This window comes from Homo sapiens, chromosome 7, assembly GCF_000001405.40.
Source record: "Homo sapiens chromosome 7, GRCh38.p14 Primary Assembly".
Taxonomy (NCBI): Eukaryota; Metazoa; Chordata; class Mammalia; order Primates; family Hominidae; genus Homo; species Homo sapiens.
Window position 1 is genome coordinate 92,009,917 of NC_000007.14, and position 27,513 is coordinate 92,037,429.

The 27,513-nt window shown below is 37.7% G+C and overlaps 1 protein-coding gene across 2 annotated transcripts in view; it reads left to right on the forward strand.

Annotated features, from left to right (window-relative positions):
• AKAP9 (A-kinase anchoring protein 9) overlaps positions 1-27,513 on the forward strand; it is a 169,812-nt gene that overhangs the window by 69,055 nt on the left and 73,244 nt on the right. For both annotated transcript variants that reach the window (NM_005751.5, NM_147185.3), the window contains exons 9-16: positions 2,513-2,726; positions 4,333-4,412; positions 6,213-6,351; positions 7,101-7,186; positions 12,322-12,436; positions 12,898-13,093; positions 19,979-20,075; positions 21,596-21,688. In NM_005751.5, the coding sequence (NP_005742.4) occupies positions 2,513-2,726; positions 4,333-4,412; positions 6,213-6,351; positions 7,101-7,186; positions 12,322-12,436; positions 12,898-13,093; positions 19,979-20,075; positions 21,596-21,688 (1,020 nt within the window). The remainder of the gene's footprint in view (positions 1-2,512; positions 2,727-4,332; positions 4,413-6,212; positions 6,352-7,100; positions 7,187-12,321; positions 12,437-12,897; positions 13,094-19,978; positions 20,076-21,595; positions 21,689-27,513) is intronic.

Genomic DNA, 27,513 nt, shown 5'->3' on the forward strand with positions numbered 1-27,513 from the left:
TCACCCAGGCTGGAGTGCAGTCAGACAATCACATTTCACTATGGCTGCAACCTCCCAGGCTCAAGTGATCCTCCCAATTCAGCCTCCCAAGTAGCTGGGACCACAACAGGCACATAGCACCATGCCTAGCTAAGATTTTTTAAAACATTTTTTTACAGACAGGAGGATCTCGCTGTGTTGCCCAGGCTGGTCTTAAATGTAGGGGATTGGTCAGGGTGGTGGGAGATAAAGATAAAGTTATAGGAAATAGACACAAACCTTCTTGGGAGGCCGGGAGGTTTGCATAGCTTCAGTGAAAGATTTGGTTGAAGGCAGCTGAATTCTCTTAAAAGCTTAGGGCTTAGCTACATAGGAATATAAGGGAGTTTATCTAAAGAGCTTGTTTACTCATGTGGTCCTAAGACCAACCTTTGATCATTCGCAGGACTGCTCTCTGGGGAGGGTGACCAGATAATTACCCACAAGTGTGTTGACTCAAAGCCTTTGTCATTAAATCTATGCTGAATAAATGCCCGCAGGGCCAGCTAGTCAGGGCGTGCACTACTGCAATTCTTTTTTGTGAGCGGCCCAGCCCCCTAGCCACTCTTTCACTGAATACTGGTGTCTGAGTACGTTATTCATCTGTTATGCAGCCTGACTCTGCAGGTCAAACCCTGGCACTTAAACTCCTGGGCTCAAGCAGTTATTCCACATTGGCTTCCCAAAGTGCTGGGATTACAGGAGTGAGCCATCATGCCTGGCCTTATTTTATTTTTTTAGAGACAAGTTTTTACTCTTGCCAGGCTGGAGTACAGTGGCATGATTATAGCTCACTGCAACCTTGAACTCCTGGACTCAGGCAATCTCCTCATCTCAGCCTCCTAAGTAGCTGGGACTACAGGCACATATTACCACTCCTGGCTAATTTATTATTATTTTTTTAGAGATGGGGTCTTTCTGTTGCCCAGGCTGGTCTTGAATTCCTAGACTCAAGCAATACTCCTACCTGAACCTCCTGAGCAGCTGGGATTATAAGTACAAGTTACTGTGTCCAGCCCATATAGTCATTTTAATACATATTGGAAAAGAATCCATAAAAAACTAATAACTCATAATTTTTTTTCAATGGAGAAAATCCAGAATAGAAGGGAAATTTCTTAACCGCAGTAATTGTTTTCATTAAAACATTTAGCAGATAACATTTCTAATAGTGAAATTTAGAAGCATTCCCATTAATATCAAGTATAGAATAAAATGTGATAGAAGCATTCCCATTAAAATCCAGTATAGAATCAAGTATAGGATACCCACTTTCAACATCACTATTTCAACATTGCTTTGTAGTTCCTAGCCAATGCAATTTGACAAGAATAAGAAATGAGATAAAGAATATGAAAACTTATTTATGAATAACAAAATAAACCCTACATAAGATGCTTTGAACTTTTGTCAAGAAAATTATAAAACACTGAAGCATGTAAAGACCTCACTATATGCCAATATGTACCGTATTCATAGTGGAAAGATGTAAAGAAAAATGTCAGTTCTCTCCAAATTAATCTCAGTATTCAGTGTACTTCCAGTCATAATTACAAGGAAATTTTTCATGGATCTTGAAAAACTGATTGTAAAATTGATATAGACAAGTAAATACTCAAGAATAATCAAGAGAACCCTAGAAAAATGTATTGCATCTGACAGCAAGATTTACTACAAAATCATAATAGACAGTATGGTTTGATGCTAGGATGGACAATTAGGTCAGTGGAGCGTAATGGAAAGCCCAGAAACACATTGAGATCCTTGTGAAATTTTAATATATAGGAAAGAGACCCTACAAATCAACATTTATTTAATAATACTGAGTGAGCCTCTACTGCATTCTATGCACTGTTTTAGTCCCTGGTGACATAACAGTGAATAAAAGCAAGTAGTAGGCAGGGTGCGGTGGCTCATACCTGTAATCCCAGCACTTTGGGAGGATTGCATGAGCCCAGGAGTTTCAGGCCAGCCTGGGCAACAGAGTGAGACCCCATCTTTACCTAAAAATAAAAAGTTAGCTGGGCATGGTGGCATGCACCAGTAGTCCTAACTACTTGGGAAGCTGAGGTGGGAGGATCGCTTGAACCCAGGAGGTCAAGGCTGCAGCGAGCCATGATTGCACCACTGTACTCCAGCCTGGGTGACAGAGTGAGTATTTGTTAATTTGGGTTGTGAGTACATAAATGTTTATTACTTCATTATTTCCATGTCTGTACGTTTAAAATCTTTTAGAACAAAAAATCAAAGATGAGTCATGCTAGCTATACCAAATATCACAATTTAGTATAAAACTGAGGTAATGAAAACATTGTGCTACTTTCCTTGAAAAAGAAAGGTAGATCAATGCAACAGCACGAAGATAGAAAAAAAATTAGACTTCAGTTCTCATGAATTTTTAAACTCTTGTAGTCAGTATATGCAAAAAAAAGAAGTTAAATTATTTGATTTGTCATTTAAGAATATTATAATGTTTACATATGTTTACTTTAAGAATGATTTAAGGCTACAGATGGAAGCCCAACGCATTTGCCTCTCTCTGGTTTATTCAACTCATGTGGATCAGGTTCGTGAATATATGGAAAATGAAAAAGATAAAGCTCTTTGCAGTCTTAAAGAAGAGCTTATTTTTGCTCAAGAGGAAAAGATCAAGGAACTTCAGAAAATACACCAGTTAGAACTACAGACTATGAAAACACAAGAAACAGGTAAAATGGTTTCTGACTTATAAGTACCATGATCCAAATAAGTATTGGATAGAGCCCACCATTCTATAATTTTTTCCTTGTCATAGAACCCACAGAGGAAGGTGATTTGTTTACCAGTTGTTGATATAATCACTAGACATTCATTTAAGTGCTTGAGAAAGCTAAAATCATTTTCCCATAGGAAGTCACAATCCATTGCGAAAGCATATATAAAATAAACAATTTCTCCAACAGAAGAATGAATAGAAAGAATGGGAGGAGAAAGGAGAAACATCTAGTACTTCCTGGCAGGATGAGTAGGGTGAGGTGGTAGACAGTGGTGGGGTTGGAATTTTTTTTTTTTTTTTTTTTTTTTTTTTTTTTTTTTGAGACGGAGTCTCGCTCTGTCGCCCAGGCTGGAGTGCAGTGGCGGGATCTCGGCTCACTGCAAGCTCCACCTCCCGGGTTCACGCCATTCTCCTGCCTCAGCCTCCCAAGTAGCTGGGACTACAGGCGCCCGCCACTACGCCCGGCTAATTTTTTGTATTTTTAGTAGAGACGGGGTTTCACCGTTTTAGCCGGGATGGTCTCGATCTCCTGACCTCGTGATCCGCCCGCCTCGGCCTCCCAAAGTGCTGGGATTACAGGCGTGAGCCACCGCGCCCGGCCGGGGTTGGAATTTTAAGGCAGGCTCTGGAGTCTTTAGAATTGAGGTGTAAGGGTACACCCATTTTGGAAAATTGAGAGTTCAAGGTGTGTGAGAAAGTAGTTGGGGTTATAGCTGGAGAGATTGGCAACAGTTTGATTAGAAAAAGTTTTATTCTGAAAGAAGCATATATAAGCCTTATGCTGTTGGTGATAAGACCTACTGCAGGATTTTAAGTAGAGTAACACAATATGGTTTTTATTTTATGATGACACCACTGCGGTGAGTTGGGGGAGGTAAGAGTAGTGATTAGAACACCAGTTAAGCAACTAAAGCTGTCCTTTCCATAAACAGTAAGTATTAACTAAATGTTAATGAGGATGGAAAAGAAGTTTGCATTCAAAAGTAGAAATTTGAGAGTGGCTTAAATAACAGTACCAAACTTTTAAATTTCAGGAGTGCTTTGGGTTTGAATTTAATAAGATTTTAAGCATGTGATATTTTTAATGATGTCCTCTTCAAACAGGCTAGTGTTTTTCAAACTAGAGGCTAATGAATAGGTCCATTAATGGGTGGTGAAGTCAGTTTAGTGAGTAATGATCAACATTTTTAAAAAAAAAAACAAAGTAGAACAGAAGACATTGGAGTACATGGCACTACAGTAGAAGAATAAATATTGATTTCTGAGATTTTTATTTCAGTTTTACATAGATGTATGTAATAGGTTATGATATATGATGCATTTTTTTGTGTTGGGTTGTAGTAAAAAGAAGTCACTGCTTTGTACCATTTTGTGGATAGAAATGGAAAATCTCACAAAGTTTCTGAGACAATGTTGAGCAATGGAAAATAACTCAAAGAAATAAAGAATTTAAAATGATTCTTATTGCAGGGGAGCTTCCAGTTGAAACATAAGTTAAATATGATCATAGTTCTTAAGTATGTAAATTGAATTTCTTAATCCATTATCTGTTCTATTAGGTGATGAAGGAAAGCCTTTACATCTGCTCATTGGAAAACTTCAAAAGGCAGTGTCTGAAGAATGTTCTTATTTTTTACAGGTAAAATGTTTAAAAGTACTTTTATGGCCAGATGTGGTGGCTGACACTTATAATCCCAGCACTTTGGGAGGCTGAGGTGGTCAGATCACTTGAGTTCGAGACCAGCCTGGCCAACGTGGTGAAACCCCGTCTCTACCAAAAAATACAAAAATCAGTCCGGCATTGTGGTGTGTGCCTATAGTCCCAGCTACTTGGGAGACTGAGGCATTGGAATTGCTTGGGCATGGGAGGCAGAGGTTGCAGTGAGTGGAGATCATGCTACTGCACTCCAGCCTGGGTAACAGAGTGGGACTCTGTCTCAAAAAAATAATAATAAATTTTAAAAAATAAATAAAAGGTACTTTTACACAAGGAGTGCTAAATTGTAAGTTGCTACTAATTTAATGATCACCCAGCCTAGTTTTCTTCACTACCTTCAGAACTGTGCCTAGAAAGTATTCCTGAGTTTTTAACTTAAAATGAGCATTAAAAATTTTCCTGATAATCGGTTTGAAACAAAAGAAATTCAGGTAAATTATCTCGCCTGTAGAACAGACACTAATTGTTGATGTTGCCATAGATGAGTTATAAGGACAAGATGGAGACATCCTGGGAGACGGTGTAGAGTGAGCCAAAACACTAAGATGGCACCCATCTTTCTGGGTCCCAGTTTCTTTGTCTGTAAATTGGGTGATTGTTTAAGGTTTCTAAAATCAACTCTAATGTGAGAAAACTGCATCTTAGGGGCTATGCTGAAAATTTAATAAACTTAATTATTAATTGACAGTATAGTTTAAGCAAATCTCAAGAAATCTGAAGAAATAGCAATAAACAATTTGATTTTTAAGTCTAGAAGTTGGTGGTGGTAATTTTTTAGTTATATGAGGAACAAAGGTAAAAGTTATTTGAGAGCTTATCAAATGATAATGGGACATGTATTGTTTTAAATGATGATAGAAGTGTCTGTTGCTCAGGAGAAGAACCGGAACAACGCGTCAAATATTTTCAATTTTTGTGTGTGCATATAAACTACATAAAACTATTCTCATGTGTTAGGAATTTTTTTTTTTTTTTTTTGAGACAGTCTTGCTCTGTCGCCCAGGCTGGAGTGCAGTGGCACAATCTCGGTTCACTGTGACCTCTGCCTCCTAGGTTCAAGCTATTCTTGTACCTCACCTCCCGAGTAGCTGGGATGACAGATGCACACCACCACGCCCAGCTAATTTTTGTATTTTTAGTAGAGATGGGGTTTTGCCATGTTGGCCAGGCTGGTCTTGAACTCCTGACCTCAGGTGATCCACCTTCCTCGACCTCCCAAAGTGCTGGGATTACAGGCATGAGCCACCACGCCTGGCCTCTTGTGTTATGAATGTTAAGTATATGAATGTTACTCTTTTGCTTGATATGATTTCTTTAGAATTTATAGATTTCTTTCTGATCAGCATTTCTGAACGTCCATCCTTGTCCTGTGATGTTTTTTCAAAGGTATTTGAGATTACAGAGATAACATCAGAAATAGGATCCAAGCTAGGAAGTGGTTGATTAAAGTATAAGATAAATTTTATTATTATAAGGAAGCAGAAAAAATTATAGTTTTGTGCAATGAAGTTTATTATCTTCCTGATATAAGAAGATTTCATGCCAGAGAGATAGATTTAGACTTGTTTCTTTTGCAGATTGATAAGGGTATGGAGAGAATGTTTTCTTAATTATTTTTGTGTGCCATTTTGACCGCCTTGCATCTAGGAGAATTATGTTTAATCTTTAGAAGCAGAAATCAAAATTTAAATTCCTTAAAATACACAATTTTGTTGTTAACAGACTTTATGCAGTGTCCTTGGTGAATATTATACTCCTGCTTTAAAATGTGAAGTAAATGCAGAAGACAAAGAGAATTCTGGTGATTACATTTCTGAAAATGAAGATCCAGAATTACAAGATTATAGATATGAAGTTCAAGGTAATAAAAGCTTACCATACTATTAAACAGTATTTAATCCTCTTAAATTAATTGATGACAGATTTTTACTTTTGATTATGATTTAATCACCCAGCCAAGTTGTTTTTCATCTTAACATTTTATCCTCCTTTCAGATTCATGAAATCTCATATTTAATACACATTTTAAATTTTTATAATGCGATAATGGTGATATGAATATAATTGGAGCTGTCCACTATTGTCTGTCCTCTGTCTCTCTACTCCTATCTTTTTCCTTATCCTAATTCTTTTAACTTTTTATACCATAGATCCAAATTTTTAAAGTTATTGTATTTATTGAATAAGTTCATATCAATGGTTTTTGCTTTAAAATGAGTAAGATAAACATTAAGAAATAAAAAATATATTAGTATCTTTCTTAATATAGATCTGCTATAAGTTTGTTTTAACAAATAGTAACATCACCACTTTTTTGATGTTCTTTCACAGAGAAAATGTTTCCTAGCCCTGTCCATTTGTATAATGAACAAAATGTATATAAATTAATGACTACCAAAAGAAATTAACATATTTTAATATGAAATTTTCAAGTTATCTTTGTAGCAGGCATTTCACATGAATGAGATTTCAATTTTCAGTTACTAAATATCTGAGGTTTACTTCTAGCAGGCAATTTTTTTAAGTTATAAATAGGTGAATAATATTTATTGAAAGATGCAGACTTTTACTGTGAAGTGAAATTATTGTAATTGTTTGTTTACCATCCAGACTTTCAAGAAAATATGCACACTCTTCTCAACAAAGTAACAGAAGAATACAACAAACTCTTGGTACTTCAAACACGACTAAGCAAGGTCTGTGAGATGGAAAATATATTGTAATATTTGCATTTATTGTATTGTCTGCTTTTTTGTAAGCTGCTTTTATCAACCAAGAATTTCTAAAGTAAGAGAACATGAAAAAGGAGATTGGGAAAAGTGACATATATTTGTAGTAGATAATTTATATTGGTAAGCTGAAAGAATTTCTGCAAGTCGAATAATAACCCCTTTAGAGAGTTTTTAGAATTATGATAAGTTAAAATATATATATCAACTTGTAAACTGTGTGAAACAATTGCATTTAATTTTACATATAATGTAAAATTAAAGCAGTGGGCCTTCTGTTTTAGAGAAAACTGGTAATGAGTTTAGTTGCTTAGCATATAGCTAATTAGTTTCACACAGCATTATACATGTCAATTTTATTTTCAAGCAATTTTTTAAAAGTCTGTAGAAAACTAGGTAAGATAGTATACATGGCACAGTGTAATTTATTAACTCTTATCAGTAAAACAACTTAAGGCACATATTGGCAAGGATAAGTGTAATTCTCATGTAGAAGGAAATCCAGAAAGATGTCTGTGTCTATTTATTTGGGGTGCTTTTTGATGTTCAGTTAATATTAAAATGTTTAGGCAGATTTGAAAGATTTAATTGATAGTGAAAGTTATAATGTTGATGATTTATGTTTTGGCTGAAATTCTTCCTCTCCATCTCTCTCCCCTTCTTTCTTTCCCTCCTGTTTCTTCTTGCCTACTCTGTTTCTGTGCAATTAAGTACAACCTTATCTAGCCTTTCCAAAAATCTATAAACCTACTCCAGTAGATTTATATGAGTAGAATCTCTTTTGGTTTCATCTCTTATTTTCTTGTTCATTATGGATTTATGCCTTTTAAATATTCTTTATCATTTTAATTGAGTAATGGAAAGGGAGGAGGTTTATGTCAGTAATCACAAATGTAAATGCCTACATTAACTTAGCTAATAAAATAAATGAAGAAGGCCAAGTGAAACCTGGAGAAAACATGCCTCATCCAAAAGGAGCGGCGGCTGCCCAGCTTGTGCATCGTGTTGCCATTAAGTAGGAATCAGGGCCCAGTGTTGCTAGTACTTTTAATCTATTAATTTTATATGATTTTTTTTTCTTTTAAAAATATTAGGAAGTATAAACCAGGCATGGTGGTACATGCCTGTCGTCCCAGCTACTTGAGAAGCTGAGGTGGGAGGATCACTTGAACCTAGGAGTTTGAGGCTGCATGAGCTATGATTGTGCCACTGTACTCCTGCCTGGGCAACAGAGCTCAAGACCTCATTTCTAAAAATATAACACACACACACACACACACACACACACACACACACACACACACACAGAGAAATATTCAAAACTAAATGTTCTGTTTTAAGGTTGGGAAACAGAAAGCAGCCAGACAACAACAAAAACTGTTTTGTCCCCAAAAGAGCACTTTTATAGACTGGATTTAAAGTTCAAGCCTTCACTTTGTAACCTCAGATATAAACACATGCTCAGTGTACTATCTTGAACTAGTTTTCTTTTTACTTTATTATTTCTCGACTGTAGTATTTGCTGCTTTCTGATAACATTTTCTTCCCTTAGCTTCTGTAGCTTTTCAAGCCTCCATTTTGGACTTTACCTACCCTGTTTATATTACCAGGGATCTTTATTTGATCCTCGTAATCTGAATGCTTTTTTCATCTACTTTCATTGCTTCTAGATCTCTATGTTTAGGTCAGTCCTTCTGAGCTGCAGAGTCATATATCTCATCAGATATCTCTACTCAAAAATCTTTTAGGTATATCTCAATCAGCATATTGAAATTTGAATTTATTAACTACTGCTGCTTAAACCAGCTTCTCCTCTCATATCAGTTTCAAAGGAACAACATTCAACCAGAAACTTGGGGATTGTCTTAGATAGTCTTCTCTTTTCACTCCTGGTCTTCTACCATACTGAAATATACACTGAAGGGAGTACAAAGAATATGAAAGAAAAATTTATACTTTGTTCTCATTCAGTTATACAGTCAACAATTTTTATTTTTATTTTACTTTCCTTTTTTTTTTTCTCCAAGACAGAGTCTTACTCTGTTGCCCAGGCTGGAGTACAGTGGCGTGATCTCGGCTCACTGCAACCTCTGCCTCCCAGGTTCAAGCGATTCTCCTGCCTCAGCCTCCTGAGTAGCTGGGATTACAGGCACACTCCACCACACCCGGCTAATTTTTGTATTCTTAATAGAGAAGGGCTTTCACCATGTTGACCAGGCTGGTCTCGAACTCTTGACCTTGTGATCCGCCCACCTTGGCCTCCCTAAGTGCTGGGATTACAGGCATGAGCCACCACACCCGACCTACTTATTTATTTATTTATTTATTTATTCCTTAGATCTGAGGACAGACTGGTCAGCCAATATTTATTATTTGCTAATTAAATGCCAGGTTGTTCTGTGTACTGAGAATAAAGTAATGAAGTCACTAGACTGAAGAAATGTGTAAATTAATGGGATTTATGAACTAGTTTAAGGAATGTCATATACATATATACTATTTTACATATATATATATAATATATACATATGCATATATAAAATAGTTTTCCTTGGCAACATTTTAGTAGGTGTTTAGAAGAGAAATGTAAGGCCGGGCATGGTGGCTCATACCTGCAATCCCAGCACTTTAGTTGGCCAAGGTGGGCCGATCACCTGAGGTCAGGATTTGGAGACCAGCCTGGCCAACATGGTGAAACCCCATCTCTACTAAAAAAAAATACAAAAAAATTAGCTGGGTGTGGTGACACGGGCCTATAATCCCAGCTACTCTGGAGGCTGATGCAAGAGAATTGCTTGAACCCAGAAGGTGGAGGTTGCAGTGAGCCAAGATTGCACCACTGCACTCCAGCCTGGGCAACAGAGTGAGACTCCATCTCAAAAAAAAAAATAGAAAAGAAATGTAGATAAATACGTTTACTTAACAGGTAGATGAATATAGCAAACAGGTAGATGTCTTTTCTGCACAAGGGGTAATAAGAGGATATATATTTGAATGCAGTAAATTAGCTGCAATTACAGAGGCATTTCAGAGTTACTTTGGGATCAGGATCAGGACTGCAATACATCACTGTGTAACCTTTTGGCTTCATCTTCTAATATTCCTCCTCATTTCAGCCATACTGAAATACTTAGTTTCCCAAATGCACCCTGATCTTTGGCACCCTGGGCTTCTTTGCATGCTGCCCTTTCTGCATAATACTGCCCATCCCCTCCCAGCCTTTTTGGTTTGTTCCTGCTTGTTCCAGTTGGTTCAAATGTTTACTCCCTCTGTGTCATCTTCTTTACCTGTCTTTCTAGGCTTAGGCATTTCTTCCTCTGTTCCCTTAGCAACAGTACAGGCCTTGCTTATCGCGTTTCTCTTTTTTCGTTACTTTAAATACTTGATTACCCTTCTGTCCTTCTTCCATGTTCCTGTAGCTCCTTATACACATTTGCATTTGTATCACATTACTTTTCATGTTATATAATTGTTTACCATTCTGCCTCTTTCACTATTATTCTAAACCCTTCAGAATAAGAGAATCTTCTGTTTATTTTTATTTCCTTCTCTTAACACAGTGTTAGCATACAGTAAAGGCTTAATAAATGTTTGCTGAATGAGTTAGAAAGGTTGGACTGGAAACTTAATAATTTACCTGATGATCTTTATTTTCCCTGGGAACTAAGAGGCAAGATCCTCTGTTGAAATTACTCATGGGGTAGGAATTGGGTAGAGGATGTATAAGAGTAGTGAACAGTTAAAACAGCCTTCTTAGCAAATAGCTGTTTTTTCTTTTGCTCAGCTGCTTCTACAGTATCCTTTGTTCATCTGGTCTTGCAAGTCCATAGTCTTTCCCCTTGCTTTTAAAGTCTTCTGTTATTTGGATCTATCTTATTTAACTAGCTTTATTTCCCCCTCCGTATCCAAATTAAACCCTCCTCAAGAAGATCATTGTCAATTATGGCATACGTCATTCTTTCACAAATACTCTTACTCTTTCTTCCTTATAGCCTTCCCAAATCATTACCAGAAATATATGAGCCTAAATCAAAACTGACTTCCATAATTACTCAGATCCACATCAGTCTTCTGTATCATTGTTGTTATAGTCAAATTTTATAGTTTAGCCGTTCTCTAATTGTTTATTTTCCCATCTGATTGATGAATTCTGTGCAGGCAGATATATTGTTATTTTTTAAACGGATTTTATATTTTTACTCTTGTCACAGTGCTGGTCACATTGATTATTAAGTATTTGATGAATAAATAAATTAGTACACACAGGTATCTGACATATTGCTGCTTAGTTTTATGTATTTATTTATTTACTTATTTTTTTGAGGCAGAGTCTTGCTCTGTCTCCCAGGCTAGAGTGCAATGGCTCAATCTTGGCTCACTGCAACTTCCCCTTCCCAGGTTCAAGAAATTCACCCGCCTCAGCCCCTCAAGTAACTGGGATTACAGGTGTGTGCCACCACACCTGGCTAATTTTTGTATTTTTAGTAGAGATGGGGTTTCACTATGTTGGCCAGGCTGATCCTGAACTCCTGACCTTAGGTGATCCAGCCATCTCAGCCTCCCACAGTGCTAGGATTACAGGCTTGCTGCTTTTTAATAGTTAAGGAAATAAGCTGAGATTTATCTATTTTCATTATTTTCTTTTCTTTTTGTTTACTGTACAGAGCACCATACCATTTGTCAGTTACCTGGTTGTACATAGGATATATCTAGAGATAAACAAGCTGTATTAATCAAGTATTGCTAATATAAAATTTATTATGTATGAATTGAAATTTCAAAGACCAAGGTATACTATAAATATTGTTATCAGCTTTCTACCAAAATTCTCAGAAGCACTTGTTTTTGTAGTAAAATGAACTTCCTTTCAGATATCAAAGAACATTACTAATATAATTTCAGTGCTATGAAAGGTATGGAATATTAATTACTGTTACAGAAGAGAACAGGGAATAACTTAGAAGGGAAAATGCTTGTATTAGAGTGCCACAATTTTGGGTGGTTTTAAAAAAGCATCTTAAATGCAGAGTTGCTTTAATACAGCTTTCTAATTGCTGGATTATGTATTTATGTTACTGCTTTTATTCTGTGGTTTTCAATAGATCTGGGGACAGCAGACAGATGGTATGAAACTTGAATTTGGAGAAGAAAACCTTCCAAAAGAGGAAACAGAGTTTTTATCAATCCATTCTCAGATGACCAATTTGGAAGACATTGGTAAATTTTGATCATATACCACAATGTGGTGTTTTTATAGCAAATATTGAGTAATTTGCTTTTTTACTTTAAAATGTGAGCTAACGTAGTGACCTTTGGCATTTCACTGTAGCCTCTCTGATCTCAATTTTTTCATCCTTAAAATGAAAGATTTGGACTACTTTCTATTTGGTCCTTTCCCCCTTCTTATGTTCTGTGATTCTGAATTGTTTTAAATTTTAAAGATATAAAATTTTGGATTTAGGAGTACTACAGCATGAGGATCAAAAAGATGATCTTGAATTGTACTATTTATGTTTTCTTGTTTTCATCAGAATGAGTTTAAATTGAAACCAGAGTTATTACCACTAAAAACATACTTTTTCAAAAAAGAATTAATATTTTCTGTACACAGTGATTGTGCTATTTCACTAAGAAACTTATATTGAAATGTGCATTTTTTGTCTCTTTATATAACATAGATGTCAATCATAAAAGCAAGTTATCTTCTCTGCAAGATCTTGAAAAAACTAAACTTGAAGAACAAGTTCAAGAATTAGAAAGCCTCATATCCTCTTTGCAGCAACAGTTGAAAGAAACTGAACAAAACTATGAGGCAGAGATCCACTGTTTACAGAAGAGGCTTCAAGCTGTTAGTGAGTCCACGGTTCCGCCAAGGTATTCATCTGCTTATAGCTTCATTCAACAGTATTTGTAGCTTTGTAACAATTATAGTATCATCCAGAATGGTTATTTAAAAAAGTAACTTAAGCAAAGTTGCTGGAAAGAGATAGGATGTAGCATTTTTTAGAAAGAAGAGCAAGAGATCATTCTATATCTTTGAAATGCCTGAAAAAAATGTTGATGTAAACCAAAGACATTATAGGAATTTTACTTAAATTTTTACATTATAAAGATGTTGGTTGTTGTTAATCTGCTTAATTAAATCGGCAGTGTGCACATATTTGCAGTTTATTCTGTACCTAGTCTTTGCTACTTTGATATGGTGAATACTTAAGGAATATAAGGTAGGATCATTCCAGTCATGGCAGGGTTTCCTCCACTTTGTTGTCTCATGTTCAAATTCACCACGTCCAAAGTAGAACTCTGGCTCTTCTCAAAATTTGCTCCTTCTGCAGCTATATCCATCTGTCGTTACTCCTCTTTCTCTTATACCTCTCTTCTAGTCTATCAAGACGTCCTATTTTCTCCACCTTCAAAAATATATCCAAACTGTACCACTCCTTAAAACCTTGCTGGTCTCTGCCATCCTTTTGTCTCAACTGGATTACCCTAACTCCCCCCTAAAGTCTGTTCTCAACACAGTTAAAGCAGGTGCCAGAATCTTGCTTTTAAAATTTAAAATAGATTGTATCATTCCAAAGCTCTTCTGTCCTACATGATGAGTACCCATTACTTTTCTGATTTTTAATCTCCTACTGACTTGTCTGTCACTGTCTTCTGACCCCAAGATACTGGTGACAGCATCTTGGGGTCCTTAAACAAGCATTATCAGTATGCTTCTGCTTTAGGGACTTCTCATTGGCTGTTCCTTCTACCTAGAATGGTCTTCCTCCAGATACATGCCTGGCCAACACCCTCACCTTCTTTGGATCATTACTCAAGTGTCATGTTCTCGTGAGGCTTTTCTTAACCATTCTGTGTAAATTAAAATTGTCTCCTAGAATGCTGATTCCTATTTCTCTACTTTATTTTTTCTATATTACTTAATATTGTCTATTTATATGTATGTATACATTATGCACATTTTATATAATATATATCATATATATAACTAGGCTGGTCGTGGTGGCTCATGCCTGTAATTCCAGCATTTTGGGAAGCTGAGGCAGGCAGATTACCTGAGGTTAGGAGTTCGAGACCAGCCTGGCCAATATGGCAAACCTCCATCTCTACTAAAAATATAAAAATTAGCCGGGCATGGTGGCATGCACCTGTAATCCCAGCTACTCAGGAGGCTGAGGCACGAGAATCACTTGAACATAGGAAGCGGAGGTTGCAGTGAGCTGAATTTGCACCACTGCACTCCAGCCTGGATGACAGAGCAAGACTCTGCCTAAAAAATATATATATATTATGTGTGTGTGTATATATATATATATTATATATATAACCAAATATGTGTAAATTTGGAGGGGGTAGATTCATTTTTATTTTGTTTATTGTTCGTCTCTGGTGAAAGACTTTAAGCTTTATAAGGGTGGGGCTCTTTTTCCATTTAGGTCAGTGATATATCACAAACACCTAAGATAATTCCCTGCACATAATAGGTACTCAATAAATTATTTGTTTAATGAATGAACAGTTTATAATTTAGTTGGGAAGTATGCTATAGTATATAACTAGCTCTATAAAACCCTCAGAGATTTCTTCTAACTGTGGCTGGCTCTGCTATTGTAGCGCGGATGTCTTCCTAGACACTTGCTAGTAAAACCTCAACACAGTTTTTTTGTATAGTGGACGAAATACTGAATGTCTGCTTGTTTGGAACTAGTCGTTACTCTTTTTTATTTGAAACCTACATATGGGCTTTGGAATTATTTGCTTTAGCCTTATAAAGCTTCCATTTTCTTTGAGATTGGTGGTTTCTAAACATGACCATACATCAGAAATAGTGGAGGTTTTTGAACTTTAATATAATTTTTTTAATTACTTACAATGAAAGATCACTGAATTATAATTTGGAGAGTCATACTCAATAGCTTTGAGATGGAACTTGGAAATTTGTGTTTTTAACAATATAATTCAGAGGCACGGAACCCATAGATTGACATTTGGAAACCACTGCTTTCTGATATGAAACAAAATAGGTAATTAGGAAGAACTTTCTAATAAACAGTATTTCAAGCAGTCTTCCTTTAATTAGTGATGCTTTCTGTCCAAAGCATGAAGAAAAGAGAGGCTTCTGGAAACATAGGCTTACATTGTTATTCCTGCATTTGGGCTTCTGCAAGCTCACCACCCTCTCTCAGAGTTTCTATAATACTCCATGGAAATGTGTTGACAAGGCCTTTGAATGAAAATCATTCGTTTGCTCCCTGCACCCCTACCAAAAAGAGTTTTACTCACCACCGTCCTCATTCTTACTAATAGTAATGAGTCAAAATTATTTTGTGTAAATAGCATCACATATTTTGGACATGACTGTAACACATTTTGAATAGAGTATACTGTTCCCTGTGGGTAGACTTGAAATAGTTAAGAAAAATAATTGAATCATTCTTTTAACAAATATTTGGTGATTTCATACTAGAAACCTCTAAGAGAAACACTAAGGTTGGAAAGATCATGGGTTTTAGTCAGACGGATCTGCATTTGACCCTGATTTGACCTTTTACTGGCTATATGATCTTGGACAGATTATTTAAACATTTCTAAATAGTAATAGGGATAATAATAATTACCCTTAAGATTGTGAGGATTAAATGAAACAGTAACTGAGAAGAGCCTTAGCTAGATACCCTGGAGGTAGAATTAGATGTTTATGTAAAGTGGCTGTTTCCTTCCAGGGACTTCAGTGTAATCACTGAAATAATAATTACTTGCAAAATAATTTTTCGAAGGTAATGGTTGGGGAATATAACATAGTGATATAACTAAAATGCTGGAATTTAAACCCATGTCTTTGTGGCGTTTTTCACTGCACATCTGTAATACTGCCTATTAGAGTAATAACAGCAAAATGGAAATGAAGGATGAATATTTAGACATTGCAATGGAAGGAATGTTGGAAACAAAGCAGAGGGGAAAAAACAAAGATAACTCTGTGTTGCTTGAGCCTAGGGAATATGGAAAATGAAGGTACATCATATAAATAGGAAAATCAACAGGGGTTGCAGATAGTAGGAGCTTAATTGCAAGAGGGGAACAATGAATTAAGTTTACGCCAGACTGTTTTTTTCAGTTTGGAGTAATAAACACTTTCAAATACTGTAAAGCTTAAAGAATGAAGTCGCTCTCCCTCTCCCTCTCCCTCTCCCTCTCTTCTCTCTTCTCTCTCTTTCCACGGTCTCCCTCTGTTGCCGAGGCTGGACTGTACTGCCGTGATCTCGGCTCGCTGCAACCTCCCTGCCTCGGGCTCCCGTGATTCTCCTGCCTCGGCCTGCCTAGTGCCTGGGATTGCAGTCACGCGCCGCCACGCCTGACTGGTTTTTGTGTTTTTGGTGGAGATGGGGTTTCGCCATGTTGGCTGGGCTGGTCTCCAGCTCCTGACCTCGAGTGATCTGCCCGCCTCGGCCTCCCGAGGTGCTGGGATTGCAGACGGAGTCTCGCTCACTCAGTGCTCAATGTTGCCCAGGCTGGAGTGCGTGGCGTGATCTCAGCTCGCTACAACCTCCACCTCCCAGCCGCCTGCCTTGGCCTCCCAAAGTGCTGAGATTACAGCCTCTGCCCGGCCACCACCCCGTCTAGGAAGTGAGGAGCATCTCTGCCTGGCCGCCCATCATCTGGGATGTGAGGAGCCCCTCTGCCCGGCCGCCCCGTCTGGGAAGTGAGGAGTGCCTCTGCCCGGCCGCCACGCCGTCTAGGAAGTGAGGAGCATCTCTGCCTGGCCGCCCATCGTCTGGGATGTGGGGAGCGCCTCTGCCCGGCCGCCCTGTCTGGGATGTGGGGAGCGCCTCTGCCCGGCCGCCCATTGTCTGGGATGTGGGGAGCGCCTCTGCCCGGCTGCCCTGTCTGGGATGTGAGGAGCGTCTCTGCCCGGCCGCCCCGTCTGGGAGGTGAGGAGCTTCTCTGCCCGGCTGCCACCCCATCTAGGAAGTGAGGAGCATCTCTGCCTGGCCGCCCCATCTAGGAAGTGAGGAGCGCCTCTGCCCAGCTGCCCCGTCTGGGAAGTGAGGAGTGCCTCTGCCCGGCTGCCGCGTCTGGGAGGTGAGCGCCTCTGCCCGGCTGCCCATCGTCTGGGAAGTGAGGAGCACTTCTGCCCAGCCGCCCCGTCTGGGATGTGAGGAGCACCTCTGCCCGGCCGCCACCCCGTCTAGGAAGTGAGGAGCGCCTCTGCCCGGCCGCCTCGTCTGGGATGTGAGGAGCGCCTCTGCCCGGCCGCCCTGTCTGGAAAGTGAGGAGCGCCTCTGCCCGGCCGCCCTGTCTGGGAAGTGAGGAGAGCCTCTGCCCGGCCGCCCATCGTCTGGGAGGTGAGGAGCCCCTCTGCCCAGCCGCCCTTCGTCTGGGAGGTGAGGAACGCCTCTGCCCGGCTGCACCGTCTGGGAGGTGAGGAGCACCTCTGCCCGGCTGCCCCGTCTGGGAAGTGAGGAGCGCCTCTGCCTGGCCGCCCCGTCTGGGATGTGAGGAGCGCCTCTGCCTGGCCGCCCCGTCTGGGATGTGAGGAGCGCCTCTGCCTGGCCGCCCCGTCTGGGATGTGAGGAGCGCCTCTGCCTGGCCGCTGTGCAATCTTCCAAGTGTGAAGTGACAGCCTTTCTGCAGGTGTACCCAACAGCTCCGAAGAGACAGCAACCATTGAGAACAGGCCATAATGACGATGGCGGTTTTGTTGAAAAGAAAAGGGGGAAATATGGGGAAAAGAAAGAGAGATCAGATTGTTACTGTGTCTGTGTAGAAAGAAGTAGACATAGGAGACTCCATTTTGTTCTGTACTAAGAAAAATTCTTCTGCCTTGGGATGCTGTTAATCTATAACCTTACCCCCAACCCCGTGCTCTCTGAAACATGTGCTGTGTCAACTCAGGGTTAAATGGATTAAGGGTGGTGCAAGATGTGCTTTGTTAAACAGATGCTTGAAGACAGCATGCTCGTTAAGAGTCATCACCACTCCCTAATCTCAAGTACCCAGGGACACAAACACTGCGGAAGGCCGCAGGGTCCTCTGCCTAGGAAAACCAGAGACCTTTGTTCACGTGTTTATCTGCTGACCTTCTCTCCACTATTATCCTATGACCCTGCCACATCCCCCTCTCTGAGAAACACCCAAGAATGATCAATAAATACTAAAAAAAAAAAAAAAAAAAAAAAAAAAAGAATGAAGTCATTGTGGACTAAGTAGTACTTTTTGGAGTTTAGATCATAATGACCGGATAGATAATCAGGAGGATTTTCTAGGCTGTGAAAGTAAGATCCAGGACATAAAGCCAAGGATCAGAGCAGTATATACAAGGGACAATGAGGAAAACAGAGACAAAATAGTAATAAAGAAAAAGCAGGAAAGGGCAGAGAAGAAAGACAAGGGAATGAGTTTTTAGAAGCATGGGATGGTCATAGAACATGAGAAGGCAGTTCACAGCAGGAAAAACCTAAACGGCCAATAACATTTGAAAGAAAATGTCTTCTCAAAAATAAAGACATACATGTTCTAGCAAAGTTTTACAATTGTTATAACCCCCGATTGCTGAAGTTTTAAGAAAATACTTAAATGATACTATTATGAGAATAAAATTAATAAAACTTTTTGGAATATGACCCTGTATTAAAACATTAAATATTAAGCTTAACAATTACTTATAAGATTTTATTATGTAGAAACATCCATGGAAGTGTGCCAAGATATGTTTGTGGAGATCTGTATTATAGCATTGTTTGTAACAGTGAACAGTTGGAAGTAATCAAATGGCCATCATTAGGGGTTTAGTTATATAAGTTATGAAATGGGATGATGACAACTTTGGCCAATTTTGGACAGAATTTAGGGTAGAAAAGAATAGGAGAAAGAAGGTTATGTGGACAAGAGGAAGGTCAAACTAAGAAAGCAGCATAGTTACACATGAAAATGGGTATGGAAAATTATATTTGCCAGAAATGAAAATTATAATTTGCTCCTTTTTTTTTTCCCATGGATCCTAAATGCTGATCTTACCTTAGTTTTTATGACCTAAGTTAAGCGTTTTAAGAAAAAAAAAATTTTTAATCATGTAAAAACTACACAATACAGATGTGAATACCAAAAGATAAAACAAAAAAGTCCGAAAGTGAATATTTGTAAATTAAGATTCTTCTCTTTACCACCACTGCTCCTGACTGAGTTCCACTAGAGGTAAACATTGTTACTTTCGATGTGTATACATAGGAAGATAATCAAACTTTTTGTATCCAAATATACATATGTATGTTAAAAGAAGTTTCTCATAAAAGTGAGATTTTACAAACTTTTTTAAAGTCATTAATATATCTTAGATAACTTTAAAAAAAATGTTAGTACTGGCCAAGCACAGTGGCTCATGCCTGTAATCCCAGCACATTTGGAGGCTGAGGCGGGAGGATCACTTGAGGCCAGGAGTTTGAGATCAACCTATGTAACGTAGTGAGACCCCATCTTTCCAAAAAAACAGTCGGTACTTATGGTTCCATATCATACATTTGTAGTGTAAAATGACATAAAATTCAGTTGATCACCTGGTAAAATACTGTTATTCAATTGTGTTCTTTTAAGTGGAAATATTAGTCAAAAATATGATTTAACTTGCAATACCTATAACCCTAGACTCATTTTTGTCTCCCATGCCCCAGTACACATTTTATGTGTGGTGTAGATTTTGCATGAACACTAAAGCACATATACAACTCTAATTCTTTAACCTTTTTTATTTATATTCAGCTTACCTGTTGATTCGGTGGTAATTACAGAATCTGATGCACAGAGAACAATGTACCCTGGAAGTTGTGTGAAAAAGAATATTGATGGTACAATAGAGGTATTATATTTTTAATTTTTATCTTTTAACTGTTATATACACTGATTTTTCTATCATTTTTATGTCTGGTTTACTATCTAATAAATAGTTGCTGAGAAGTAAGCATAATAAATATGAGGATAATGCCTTATATAGAAAACTCAGAATACACATGTAAAGAAATTTAATCTATTTTTATAGCATAGGTAACACACAGAGGAAGTTAAGTTTGGGGGTTATATTTCCCTTAAATATGTTATAGTTTAAGATTTATCTTGTTTTTTGTAACATGTGGGCTATGTACAAATTAGTTTCAGTGCCCTGGTCAACAAAGCTTTGTCTTCCCAGCATGGGAAGTTGGACAAGGCCATCTCTAGAAAAGTGTTTAGGGGCCAGGTGTGATGGCTCATGCCTGTAATCCCAGCACTTCAGAAGGCCGAGGTGTGTGGATCACGAGGTCAGGAGATCAAGACCAGCCTGGCTAACATGGTGAAACCCCATCTCTACTAAAAATACAAAAAATTAGCTGAGCGTGGTGGCACTCGCCTGTAGTCCCAGCTGCTCAGGAGGCTGAGGCAGGAGAGTCGCTTGAACCTGGGAGGCAGAGGTTGCAGTGAGCTGCGATTGCACCACTGCACTCCAGCCTGGGCGACAGAACAAGACTGTCGCCAAAAAAAAAAAAAAAAAGGGTTTAGGAATCCCCAGAATCCAAGACAATAGGGCTGGGATAATAGAATTAGGCCTATTCCAATAAGGTCCGTATGGTATATAAAAAAGTTCCACATCTTTTAAAGTGCATGCCATCTAACTAAACCACCCCCTGCCTCTGCTCAACATTGTATTATTCTAAATTTCTCACACCTGCAACTTTCTCAAACTGGCAACTGCCAAACCCTGGTCTTCACTCAGTAGATTTTTAGCTCTTAAGTCTTAGAAAAAAGTAAGATCATCGTTCTTCCTCGCTCAGTATACAGAGGAAAGATGTTAGACACATCCTTGATTCTGCTATACTCATCCCATGTCATGATGATTGGTAAATAAAGAAATACTTTCATACTGAGAACATATTTATGTTTTTTAAAAGTTTATGGTTTTTTCTATTGATAAAAGTAATTTGTATTTGTAGAAAGTTAGATAGTATTAATAAATACCAAGAAGAAAACAAAATTTGCTTGTAAGTTTATGAGCAAAGATAGCCACTGTTTAACATTTTACTTAAAAGGAAATCTGTACACACATATATATTTTATTAGTTATATTTAAGTATCCTTTTCCCACTCTAGAACTGTATGTTGGCATTTATAAATATGTAAACATATTTCTCTTTGCATCTTTAAGTTCACGGTAGTGAGTATAATTATTTGGTAGAATTATTTACTAGAATTATTTTTAATTGAGAGAATTAAAATTTATTTTTTGCTGAAAGTATGTAGAACTTTTCTAAAAATACTGATACTTTGGGGAGATTTTGAGGTAGAAGTTTAAAAATAAGTGGTGTATAATTAATGTAAATAAATGTCATATTTTGCTTTTAAATGTAGTTTTCTGGTGAATTTGGAGTGAAAGAGGAAACAAATATCGTTAAGTTGCTTGAAAAACAATACCAAGAACAATTAGAAGAAGAAGTAGCTAAGGTAGGCTTATAGCTTATCTGGAAGATTATCTTGGTTTATATTCCCTTTGAGCCTTCAAAAAGAACATAGATTTTATCGATGGTATGTACTTTATAAGTTTCATATATAGTTCATCTTTAAGTGATTGGATAATATCAATTATAGTTGCCTTTAAACAAAATATCTTGTGAATTTTTATTTGAGAAGAGCATTGTTCTTGATGTAGACTAGTAATTAGAAGCTTTTCAGAATGCCAAAACAAGTCTATGTATTTGTTGCCTTGTGAAGAAGTTTGGTCTTCCTTAAAAGTTGGGAAGAAGATAGGAAAAGAAAGAGAAAGTGGTTGGTCCTCTGTATATATTATCTGTATCTATTTCCAATCAGAGAAGTTTTGTTAGGTAATGACTACAGATACTAAGGGAGGATTATCACTGAGTATTAATTAGCTCCTGGCTAAGTGAAGGAGTTTATCAATGTGAGTTTTGCTCATCTCTGTATGCTTATCCACTGTGTCCAGAGTCATTCTTTAATATTAGCCATATACCCTAGTGTAACATTATGGTTCCATTTGTTTTGTCTTTGTATTCCTTTTCAAAACGTGTATACCTGATTGGCTTTTAATATTGGAACTGGCCGGGTGCAGTGGCTCACGCCTGTAATCCCACCGCTTTGGGAGGCCGAGGCGGGCAGGTCACCTGAGGTCAGGAGTTTGAGACCAGCTTGACCAACGTGGAGAAACCCTGGCTCTACTAAAAATACAAAATTAGCCGGGCGTGGTGACGCATGTCTGTAATCCCAGCTGTTCAGGAGGCTGAGGCAGGAGAATTGCTTGAACCCGGGAGGCAGAGGTTGTGGTGAGCTGAGATCGCACCATTGTACTCCAGCTTGGCCAACAAAAGCGAAACTCCGTCTCAAAAAAAAAAAAAAAAAGATATATGTATATATGAACTATTGAATTATGAGTTTGCTTTTTTTGTATAATATTTCAGCTGTCTTAATATAACAATCCCAATGGAATATGTGCATTTTAAAGGGTTAGGATTGATTGGTAGGATATAAAGGAAATATATAAGGAATTAGGAAAAACATAAATTCGATGAGGAAGTCAAGACCTAAGGAAATATCTGGGCCATAAGGACTTATTCACTTATGCCTAAAGTGAAAAGTGAAACACTATCATTTTTTTTTTATAGCTTTCAATGTCTAGTTCTTGGAGGAATGCAAATTTTCTCTTGCATGTAGCTCTTACACAAATTTATCAAATGGAATGGTGTATCAGGGTATAGTAATTAACATGAGGTTTGGTATTGGATATACCATCCTTTAAATTCTTGTTCTTTTGGTTTACTAGATTTGTGACCTTAGGAAAGTTACTTAACTTGTGAATCTCAGCGTTTTATATGTTGAAAGAGGAAATTGGCTTAGTAGCAATTTTTATAAGGATTCAATGAGCTAATGCATATAGAACACTTAGCAAATGAGTTGATACATAGTAAAGACTCATAAATACTATTTTAAAAGTAGTCATTACTGTGATAATGGTGGTAACATGATGATGTTTTATAAAGCATTACTCACTCAAGCTGATAGCAGAGCACCAAAGTACTGGTCAGTGATGTAACAGACCTGCACGTTGTGCACATGTACCCTAAAACTTAAAGTATTTAAAAAAAAAAGACTCTTCTAAATGCAGCCAAGATACTGTGGTCCAAGAGATTATGTTTGATGGCCCAGCTTGGTCCTAGAATAATATAGATTGTTGATATTAGTCACCAGTACCGATGGGATTATGCTGTACTCTGTACCCCTCAGATATGATAGAAGAAGACTGAGAGCCATTTTTCTTTTCTTTTCTTTTCTTTTTTTTTTTTTTTTTTTTTGAGACAGGGTCTGGCTCTGTCGCCCAGGCTGGAGTACAGTGGCGCAATCTCTGCTCACCGCAACCTCCAACTCCTGGGCTCAAGCCATCCTCCCACCTGAGCCTCCCAAGTAGCTGGTACTACAGGTGTGCACCACCACCCCAGCTAATTTTTTTGTAGAGACAGGGTTTTGCCATGTTGGCCAGGCTGGTCTTGAACTCCTGATCTCAAGCAATCTACTCACCTTGGCCTACCAAAGTGCTGGAATAGCAGGCGTGAGCCACCATGCCTGGCTGAGAATCATTTTTCTAAAAGCACAAGGCTATATAGAAGAAGCCCAATAGTAGTGATTTCCAGTATATATCATATTAGAGTCCTCCTGTGATTTGAGCACATACTACTGAAAGTAGACATTCATTTACATTTCACTGTTAAGCAATGTTCTGGGTGCTGAAGTATAACAGAGAATAAAAGAGGATGAAATCTTTGTTTCCATAGACCTTACATTCCAGTTGGTACAGATAGACAACATACAGATGATGATAAGTACTATGAAGAAAAAAAGCAGGACTAGGAAAATCCATGGGGAGTGAGATGGTGTTATTTTATATAGGGTTGTCATGGAAGGCCTGACTTATGAAGTGACATTAGAGGAAAATCCTAAAGGAAGTGAGGGAGTGAATCAGGAAGATATCAGGTTGAGGACCTTTTAAAGAAATATGAAAGGGAAAGTCAAGAGAGCAAGAGAAAAAGAAAGGTCAAAAATTACTCTAACAGGTGTCTTTAAGACACGGTCAGGAGACTTGACTAGAGTTTGTGGAGGCTGCTTGCCCAGCTGCTACCTCTGGTGAGTTGGAGGACAATTCAGTTTAATCCTGCAACTCCCATATTCATGGTGAAATATTGTGAAATCCTGGCACAGATTTGTCTTTTCTGCAGATGTAACTGGATACAGGAGGAAGAAATCAGGGAAAGACAGCAAGGGCTCACACTTCCGGTGAATTTATATAGGTAGAGTTGTATTGTAGTGTATATATCTATATATATATATATATATTTTTTTTTTTTTTTTTTTTTGAGATGGAGTTTCACTCTTGTCGCCAGGCTGGAGTGCAGTGGCACAATCTCAGCTCACTGCAACCTCTGCCTCTGGATTCAAGTGATTCTCCTGCCTCAGCCTCTCAAGTAGCTGGGATTGCAGGCACGCACCACCACACCCAGCTAATTTTTGTGGGTTTTTTTTTTTAGTAGAGATGGGGTTTCATCATGTTGGCTGTAACTCCTGACCTCAAGTGATCCACCCACCTCGGCCTCCCAAAGTACTGGGATTACAGGTGTTAGCCACCATGCCCTGCCTGTAGTATTCTTTTATCATTTAATGTCTGTGGCATCTGTAGTGTTATCCCTATTTCTCACCTTTTTGTCAGATTGGCTAGAGGTTTATTGATTGTATTGATAATATTAAGGATTCAGCTTTTTGTTTCATTGTTGTTTTTATTGTTTTTGTTTTTATTTTCAATTGCTACCCATATCTTTTTGATATCCTTTTTCTGCGTGCTTTGGACTTAATTTGCTCTTCTTCTGCTTTTCTAAAAGGAATTTCTTTTCTAATGTATGCATTTAATGCTATACTCGAAAGCATAGCGTTACAGCTTTAAACATTATAGCTTGTAAGTATAGCAATGCTTCCTCGTAAGCAATGTTTAAAGCTGCATTCTGCAAATTTTCATTCAATCCAAATATATTATTTCCCCCGTGACTTCCTCTTTGATTCATGGGTTATTTAGAAATGTACTGATTTCCACATTTTTATGATTTTCAGATAGCTTCCCATGGTTAACTTAATTAATTTTTAAGTTTCTTTGTGGTCTGGCAAAATACCTCATATAATTTCAGTTCTTTTAAATTTGATGCCCAAAATATGGTCTTTTCTGGGTGAAAGCTCCATGTGTACTTGAAAAGAGTATGTGTTTTGCTGTTATTTAAATTTCAGATTTCCCTCTGGTGCCATTTTTCTTTAGCCTAAAAACCTTCCTTTAGCATTTCTTTTAGAACAGGTATGCTGACAATGAGTTCAACATACAACGAATTTTATGTTGTCTAATTTTGAATTGTATATTAAATGTTTTGTGTTTTGTATGCTCTGGATGTCATTATAATTCTTTGAAGAATGTGAATTTTTTAAAAAAATAGGCAGTCCACCCAGTTAGGTTCAGACTAAAAATCCTGTTTCTTCTTTCCCATACAAATCACCTAAGTTTTGACTTCCCTCTGCAGTCTCCTAGCCATTGTTTACTCTTCAGAATTCTTTAGTTGTTTTGTATTGTGCTCAGAGTTTTTAGGTAATCAGTGGGAGAAGCAGGCTGTAGTGGGCTTATTTTATGTTGCCTGGAAGCACAGTCTTTGTGTTTTCTTATTCCACAATTCAGATGCAATTATTGCCTTATAGCATCAGTATTTCAATTTACCCACATTTTTTTTTTAAAAAGGATGTTTACGCTCTAATCCTTTTTGCATCTTAGGCCATCCTTTTAGAATCTTATTTCTTTTTGAAGAAAATTCTTTAGAAGTTTTTTTTTTTTTAACTGATTATCTATTGGGAGTAAACTATGTTTTTTAGTTGTCTTTATTTTATGTCTTTATTGTGTTTTTATCCATAAAAGTTTGTTTTGTTTACTGTTTGAACCTGGTTAGCAGTTATTTTTATGCCAGAACTTTGAAGGTAACATTCCAGTGTTTTCTGATTTCTTGTTTCTGTCGACAAGGTCCTTGTCACTTTGTTGTTCCCTCGTAGGTAATACGTCTTTTTTCTTTAGCAACATTTAAGATCTTCTTTTTGATTTTGGTGTTCTCTTTTCTCCTTTTTTTTTAATTTTTTTTATTTTAAGAGATGGGTCTGTCAGCCAGGCTGGAGTGCAGTGGTGTGATCATAGCTCACTGTAGCCTTGCACTCCTGAGCTCACACAATCCTCTCACCTCAGTCCCTGGAGTAGCTCACCACACCCAGCTACAAATGTTTTTGTAGAGATGAGGTATTTGTTTTTATTATAATTCATTGATCATCTTGAATCTTGGCAGTGGTATCTTCTGTAAATATTCTCAGCCATTATCTCGTGAAATAGTTCCTTTCCATTGTTCTCTATTATATCCTCCTGGAACTCTAATTAGATGTTGGTTGACCATTCTCTATCCTTCATATCTCTGTTCTTCTCTTTCATATTTTTAATCCTTTTGTTCCATGTTACATTCTTAATATATTCAGTATGAAGAGACAGAGGCAGATCAGGTTCAAGACAGGAAATTAAAGCAAAACTCAGTCATAAGGTTTTGATCACTAGTTACAGAAGGTTAAAAATATGTTTTGTTAAGTTGTATTCTATGGTTAATTATTTTTAATTATCTTTGTCTTTTGACATTTTGCCGTAATGGGTATATGTTCCAGATGACATCGTTGTTACCAAACCCTGGTTCTTTCTGAGCTAGCATAGGCACCCAGAGGTCCAATTTGGTAGGTGAGATATGGTACCAGGATTATCTGGGAAGAAACAGAATGGCATATAATGTTTAAGGTGCTTGAGCTCTGTATAGACACATTTTGATTCAAATTTCTGCCGTAATATTTATTAAATATGTGACCTTTGATGTGGTTCCTAATGTTGCAGCACTTGAATTTTCTCTGCATTGGCTACTGGTATTATAATTATTCCTCAAGTCAGTTTTAGCATTATACTTCTAGACAGATTCATTTAGTTGTGGAATAGTATAATGTTACCTTTTAGAAAGTGAGCTTAGGCAAGATTATAGGATTTTGAACCCCAGCTTCAATGATTTATTTGCTTTGTGTTTTTGAGTCAAATTACTCCAAAGGAGGCTAGCACAGGAACCAGGTGGGAATCAGGACCCCAGATAGGTGAATCACATTCAGGACAGGAAATTAAAACTAAAGTTCAGTTATATGACCTGGACCAGCAAGGAAAATAATGCTGC